At 44.5% G+C, this 7927-nt stretch overlaps 1 gene segment (V, D, J or C); it reads left to right on the top strand.

The window, feature by feature from the left end:
• The first annotated feature begins 2410 nt into the window (after nt 1-2410).
• On the top strand, nt 2411-4791 carry LOC124905154 (immunoglobulin kappa variable 1-39-like). The segment is given in 2 exon segments: nt 2411-2519; nt 4454-4791. Coding segments are annotated over 2 exon segments (348 nt in total).
• Nucleotides 4792-7927: the final 3136 nt, after the last annotated feature.

Here is a 7927-nt window from a genome sequence, read left to right as displayed (position 1 = left end):
CTTGTTACAGTAGCCCGAGGACACTAACACAAATGGGGCTCCGGGAAAATCCAGACTAAAGGTGTTGTGTTGGTTTGCAATCTCCTTGCTTAACTTTCTGATACTAGACATAAATAGATTGGTGAAAAATTTTGTGATTGAAGAAATGTACATGAAACCTACAGCGTACAGAGAAGCATCTGTTAGTTATAAGATAAATATTGATAATTTTAGTTGAAAATGACATATGACTGTTAATATCTCACATAACATTCTGAGTTACTCAAGAATGCATAAAAGGGGCACTAGATACTCTTCTCATGTATGTGTGTGTGTCTGTCTATACATGTATGTACACTTCATGGTGCATCAGTTGGCGGAACCCTCAGGACACCCCTTCACATCCTCAGTGCCCCATTTCACACATGAGGAAACTGTTCATGACAGCACATGGCTGATTTGCATAAAAGTCACTTGGTCAGCAGTTGTTGAAGCTGAACTTGGAATCTAGGTCTGTCTGACCTTAACTATGTTCCTTCCACAGAGCCACGTTCATTCCATAGAGGAACCCACCACCTATAAAACCAGGAAAGAGACAAAGCCAGAAGTGCAGGGTGGATTTCTTAACACAAGCTCACTGCGACCTCTAGTCCTCATCACGCTGACACTAAGCTTAAACCCAGACCCTTCTACAGTTTTGTCTACAAAGCACAATTTGCCCAAAGCCTTTACAAACACCAACAGCCTTTCTTTCAGATATGGCAGCAGGGTCACATCTTACACGGCCCTGACCACATTTTGTCTCCTCTGCCATCCCCATCTCTCTGACTCAGTCCTCGCTTGCAGCCATAAAAAAGGATGAGTTCATGTCCTTTGTAGGGACATGTATGAAGCTGGAAACCATCATTCTCAGCAAACTATCGCAAGGACAAAAAAACCAATCACTGCATGTTCTCACTCACAGGTGGGAATTGAACAATGAGAACATATGGACACAGGAAGGGGAACATCACACACCAGGGCCTGTCGTGGGGTGGGGGGAGGGGGGAGGGATAGCATTAGGAGGTATACCTAATGTAAGTGACGAGTTAATGGGTGCAGCACACCAACATGGCACATGTATACGTATGTAACAAACCTGCACGTTGTGCACATGTACCCTAGAACTTAAATAATAATAATAATAATAATAAAGGATGAGTCTTGTACATCTAATTTGCCCCACAAATGTTAAAACAGCAAACCCGCATCCCCTTCCTCTTCTCATGTGCTGTGAGGGATGACCTCCAGGCTCTCAGATACCAAGATTATACAAGACCTAACCCAGAGAATTACTCAAGACACTTTCTACGTAAGAAGAATTGTGGTGCTAGCTCTCCTCATAGGAAAATGTTTTCTGTCTCTTCTTGAAATTGACAGCAAACACAAAAACACAGAACTATTTGGGAGAACAGAGGACAGTGATACACTAGGGAAGTAAAACACACCCCTTCCCCTTGCATTGGTTTCCTGTTGCTGCTGTAACAAATTACCACAACCTTACTGCTACACATAATACAACTGTATTACCTTACATTTCTGGAGGTCAGAAGTCTCAATGAAGTAAAATCAAGGAGTAATAGGGCTCTATTCAGTCTAGGCTTCAAGAGAGAGAATCCAATATCGAGCATTCCATCTTTCTGATGTTCCCACATTCCTAGCAGCATGGCCCCTACCTCCATCACTCCAGTTTCCCCGTCCGTTGTCCCAGGTCCTCTCTGGCTGTTACCTTCCTCCCTCCCTATTGTAAGGACCCTTGTGATTATGATGGTCTCACCCAGATAATTCAGGATACTCTCCTGACCCCAAAATTCTCAACCATGTCTGCCAAGTTATTTTTGACATATTCATAAGTAATGATCATAGATTCCAGATATTAGGACAATGATGTCTTTAGTGGGTGTATTATTTATTCCACAAACAACTCTCATCATCCACACAATGGTCTTCCCCTAAGGTAGAATAAAAATATCACAAGGCAGATTTATGAGGCGATCGACCTAGAAAAAACCTGAGACTCTAGGACTGTCTGATGTGTGGATGTCAAATCCTGGGAGATTCTGAGTCTCTGCTCTATGTGGACTCTATGTTGTGTAGCCATTTGTGGAAGGCTTCTGTGATTTTGTGACCTAGAGAAAATGAATCTCTGCTAAAATCAAATCTAAGAAAGATTGGCAAAGGGAATTTAAAGATTTCCTAAATTTTTGGAATTTCCCTAGGCATTAAAACAGGAGAAGTGGCAATAATTCAAACCAATGATGCCCTCCAAGAATGAGGATTTTTCCAATGCATTAGGTTGGGTCCCCTCAGTGAGAAGGATGCCAAAGATTCGCATGCAGGCAGTGTATTTACAAAGTGCGGGAAACAAGCAAGTGAGCAAGGGAGGGGAGGAGGGAAAGGGAAAGTGAAAGGTGCCTCAGAAGGAGCCACCTCTGAGGATGACGAGAGCTCAAGCCCACATAGAAACACAGGAAAAATGCCTCTGTTATTCCACCTGAGAGGTGAGGGAGCTGGGGGATGTGTACACCTCCCTTGTCATCACTGATTGACAGCCGTCCTAGGGGATGTTAATTCCAGGCCATGAGGTCTGCCTCATTTGCAGCCTGAGCTGCTTCCCCAGGTTCAGATAGAGCAGTGAAGGGGAGAAAGGGCCATAGAGAGTCGGCTGAAGTATAATGACTAGAATCCCCAAGGCGTAGTAACAATGACTGCAAAAATTATGCACAAAGAAAAAGCGCATTTGAATCCAGAGATGTATCTCTCTGAATCTGGATATATGGATCCCGGCAGCCTGTTCAGTAGCCATTTCCCAGAAATCCAGTCCTCTGGAAAAGCAGCAGGAGGTTTGTGCACAGGCTGCACTACCTTGGTCTGGCCACTGGTAGTCGTGCATGAGAACTACTCCCTGGAGTATTTCTCAGTCCACTGACACTGACGTAATTGGCTCCACTTCCCCTGCTGTTGAGCCAGGCCGACACACCCTGGACAAAGGCATCTGTGTGAAGTATTGAGGTTCAAATCAGTGCTTAAGATATGTTTGGATGCAAAATACTTTTTCATCTACATGGGCAGTGTCTTGGCAGAAGATGGAGATTCTCTCTAAATGGATGTGAGACAGGGTGGCTGGCATCTGGGTCAGGATGTTGCCCTGGTGCATGGCAAGAACATGCATTGGGCAGCAGCTGCCCTCGCTAAGGAGAGAGGTTCACTGACCTGGCTTTTCCCCCCTCACTTGCTCTCCAGAAAGCCAGACTCTAGGGCAAATGCTCCTGAGACCCCAAGAACAGGCTGGTGGGGAGCGCAGCTCAGAGCATTACTCAGGGGATGTGGCCTTTGTCATCCTACTTTGAAACAATTGACTATTTGAGCCTAGATTGATAGAGGGCTTCAAGTTGATTTTAATCCAGGCTCCTATAGTCAGCGAGTGAAACAGAGTTTTTAGTTGAAATAATGAGACCTGGTATTACTAGTCAGCTCTCCATGCTGGAGAACCATAAGAAATTATACCAAAGGCAGGAAAGGGGATAGAATATGGGGATCATCACACCAAGAATAAGGTGCAGCCCATTTAGCCCCTGGGTCTTAAAGAGACCCATAGCTCTGGATAATTAATGGCAGATCTATGCGTGACACAGTTATCATCTTTGTGCATCTTCAGAGAATTGTTTTTCCTTTTACTCCTAGGAACAATGTCTTAAGTTTGTTAGTAAATTCTATTGAATTTATTAAAGATGCTTCTGATAAATTCTTTTTATATTCATTTCAAAAAAGAAGAAATTTCACACTGACAGAGACATTGTTATTATAGCACTAAATACTTTTACACTCTTCAAATTCCTTTGAGACTAACTGAAATTTCTGACAGCCCCACATTCTACAACTTTATTGTAAATTTTCTGCCAAAAATGATGCTTCCCTATACACTCCTAATACAAGTATAAATATATTATTTAATCTAGTCTTAGGTTGATTTAAAATTTTGAAAATTCACTCCAAAAATATGTTCTGTAACCGTATGGCCACCAATGAGAAATGTATTCTTTCAAGGTAAATCTGTGCTGCCCTGGTCTGACCTGGGACTCTGGGGATACTGCGCCCCTGTGCTGAGTTACTGAAATGAGCCAGCCCTGCAGCTGTGCTCAGCCTGCCCCATCCCCTGCTGATTTCCCTGTTCCTAGAGCACAGCCCCCTGCCCTGAAGACTTTTTATAGGCTGGTCACACCCGGTGCAGGAGTCAGTCCCAGTCAGGACACAGCACAGACGTGAGAGCCCCCACTCAGCTCCTGGGGCTCCTGGTGCTCTGGCTGCCAGGTAAGGAAGGAGAACACTAGGATTATACTTGGTCAGTGTGCTCAGTACTGTCTGGAACTTCAGGGAAGTCCTCTGATAACATGATTAATTGCAAGAATATTTGTTTTTATGTTTCCAACTTCAGGTGCCAGATGTGACATCCAGATGACCCAGTCTCCATCCTCCCTGTCTGCATCTGTAGGAGACAGAGTCACCATCACTTGCCGGGCGAGTCAGGGCATTAGCAATAATTTAAATTGGTATCAGCAGAAACCAGGGAAAACTCCTAAGCTCCTGATCTATGCTGCATCCAGTCTGCAAAGTGGGATTCCCTCTCGGTTCAGTGACAGTGGATCTGGGACAGATTACACTCTCACCATCAGCAGCCTGCAGCCTGAAGATTTTGCAACTTATTACTGTCAACAGAGTGACAGTATCCCTCCCACAGTGTTACAAGTCATAACATAAACCCCAAGGAAGCAGATGCGTGAGGCTGGGCTGCCCCAATGCTCCTTCTGGTGCCTCTATCTGCTGAGGGAAGTTCTCAAACTCAGTCAGGTTTGGAAAGTCATAGGGAGATTTTCCTAGAGGAGGCCAGGGAGGTTCCTCTGAACCCTAAGCCTCTTTCACCCTCATCCCCAGCAGAAAAGACATGACAATGACTGTCCTGACTGAATAAAGAAGAGAGATAAGTCCAGCTGAGGTGTCTGTGTTATGGGATAATCGGAATTTGTACAGCAAAAGAGAAGCTATTCTCAGTATTTCAAGGAGCAATTATTCAAGTTGAATAAATTAGAGTCTAAACCACAGTCTTTCTGAAGCCTATGGAGTGTTATTCATGAAGCAGGTACTAGACACAGGGGATTCTCAGGTGCTACTTCAGAAGCCAGGGTTCACCTGCCCCTGATGGTATGTGCTGAACACCGTGTGATGATCCTCAGTCCTGTCTGGGAAGCCCAGAGCTGGGGGTGCTGATGCTCTCAGCTGCCTGCAGCACATCTCCAGGTGATTCTCCAGTCCACACCTAACAGCATGTGTTTTACTTCAGGTGTCAGTGTACATGAATCCACCACTCTGACTTCCCAATCTCATGACAGTAATTAGTTGTAACTTACTGTGACCTCATGGAGCAACTCTAAAGAAACCAGAGAGAGAAAAGGAGTTTTGGAAAATGTGCTCCCAGAAGTGATAGTAGTGATGGGGAATTGACAGCTGACGGGGAAGTAAGGTGACTCTTTCCACAAGGCTCAACATTTTGCCAGTTACGAGTTGTTGCAAAATACATTTGAATGTGCTTTCAATTATTAACAGTTTGGGGTCATAGCTGAAAAACTTTATTAAGTCACAGATAAAATGGGAAAATCAGGAAATTGTATGAAATATACAATAACACTGTGTGTGATGGCTCAGGTCTGTAATCCTGTGATAGTTAATACAGATTGTCAACTTGATTACATTGAAGGATGTAAGCATTGCTCCTGGGTGTGTCTGTGAGGGTGTTGCCAAAGGAGATTAATATTTGAGTCAGTAGTCTGGGGAAGGCAGACCCCCTACTTAATCTATGGGCACCATTTAATCAGCTGCCAGTGAATATAAAGCAGGCAGAAAAAAAGTGAAAAAGTGAGTCTGGCCCAGCCTCCCAGCCTACATCTCTCTCCCGTGCTGGATGCTTCCTACCCTTGAACATCGGACTCCAAGTTCTTTATTTTTGAGACTCGAGCTGGCTCTCCTTACTCCTCACTCCTCATGCCTGCAGACAGCCTACTGTGGGACCTTGTGATCCTGTAAGTTAATATGTAATAATATGTAATAAACCCATATATATATATAGAACTTATTAGTTCTGTCCCTCTAGAGAACCCTCACTAATACAGATTTTGGTACCAGGAATGGTTCTGCAGGAACAGAATATTAAGGTTGGAGTTCTTTTGTTGGTTTTGGGGTTTCTGGATTTGGCTGCTAAATATGATTAGATCCCAAAATGCTAAGGACTCTACTTTTAATAGTGTAGAGAACATTGACAGTTCTTGGCATGAAAGGTTTAAAGAGCTATGCAAAACAAATTCATTCGACACTAATGAATCATCGCTCGTGAGAGGCAAGGAGTTTAGTGACTCTGTACCTAATACCCTTGACAAACACCTTGCAAAATAGATTTGTGAGGACAGCACCTGCATCTTTGAAGAGCCCTGTAAAGGCTCTTCTCTGTATGTCAGTTCTAATGGTGAGAACTGCAGTCACTCAGTTACAAAAGTTAAATACAATTTGGAATAATTGGATCCTGAAGTGGCAGGGGCCAAGTGGTAGCACTCAACCCTCAAAGGCATGGTGGGTGTAGCTACCGTAATGGGCAGAAAAGACAAAGCAGCAATCTGAACAGTCTGACTCATGTAGAGCTCTGGCATTGGCTAACTAATCACAGTGCTCCTAGAAGTGAAACTGACAGGAAGACTAATGCATTCCTACTTAATTTATGTAAGGAGGAAACTTAAGGTCAAACAGATAAAAGACTAATTGGAATTATAAAAACAGAGATTCATGGCCCCTCAATCAATTTCCAGCCTTGAGCCAGTTTACAGACCCAGAACCCCTTGAATGAAGGGGAGGCTGGGTCCCCCTGAGGTGTCCATGGCAGATAGGAATGCTGCTTTGAGGCTTTGGCAGGCCTCCATAGGTGAATCATGGTGCAGTCCTCTAGTATTTTGCAGCAAGGCCCGGTCATGTTCTCCAGTTAACTACTCTCCTTTTGAGAGACAGCTCTTGTCCTATACTGGGCTTTTGTGGAAACTGAATATTTGACTATGAGTCAACAAGTCACCATGCGACCTGAACTGCCTATCGTGAACTGGGTGCTTTCTGACTCATGTAGCCATAAAGTGGGTCATGCACAGCAGCATTGCATCATCAAATGGAAATGGTGTATAAGGGATTGGGCTCAAGCAGGTCCTGGGGGGCACAAGTAAGTTACATGAGGAAGTGGCTCAAATGCCCACCCTGCCACCCTGCCTTCTCTCCCACGGCCTGCACTGATGACCTCATGGGGACTTGCCTTTGAGCAGTTGACACAGGAAGGGAGGACTAGGGCCTGGTTCACAGATGGTTCTCCACAATAGGCAGGTACCGCCCAAAAGTGGACAGCTGAAGCACTACAGCCCCTTTCTAGGACATCCCTGAAGGAGAGTGGTGAAGGACAATCTTCCCAGTGGGCAGAACATTGAGCAGTGCACCTGATTGTGCACTTTGCATGGAAGGAGAAATTTCCAGATGTGCGGTTATATACTGATTCATGGGCTGTAGCCAATGGTTTGGCTGGATGGTCAGGGACTTGGAAGAAGCATGATTGGAAAATTGGTGACAAAGAAACTTGGAGAAAGAGTATGTAGATGGACCTCTCTGAGTGGTCAAAAACTGAAGATATTTGTACCCTGTGTGAGTGTTGACCAACAAGTGACTTCAGCAGAGGAGGATTTTGATAATCAAGTGGATAAGATGACCCGTTCTGTGGATACCACTCAGCCTCTTTCCTCAGACACCCCTGTCATTGTCCAATGAGCCCATGAACATAGTGGCCATGGTGTCAGGGATGGAGGCTATGCATGGATTCAGCAATGTGGACTTC

This window comes from Homo sapiens, chromosome 22 (genome assembly GCF_000001405.40).
Source record: "Homo sapiens chromosome 22, GRCh38.p14 Primary Assembly".
Classification (NCBI taxonomy): Eukaryota; Metazoa; Chordata; class Mammalia; order Primates; family Hominidae; genus Homo; species Homo sapiens.
This window is presented reverse-complemented; position numbering and strand designations above follow the sequence as displayed.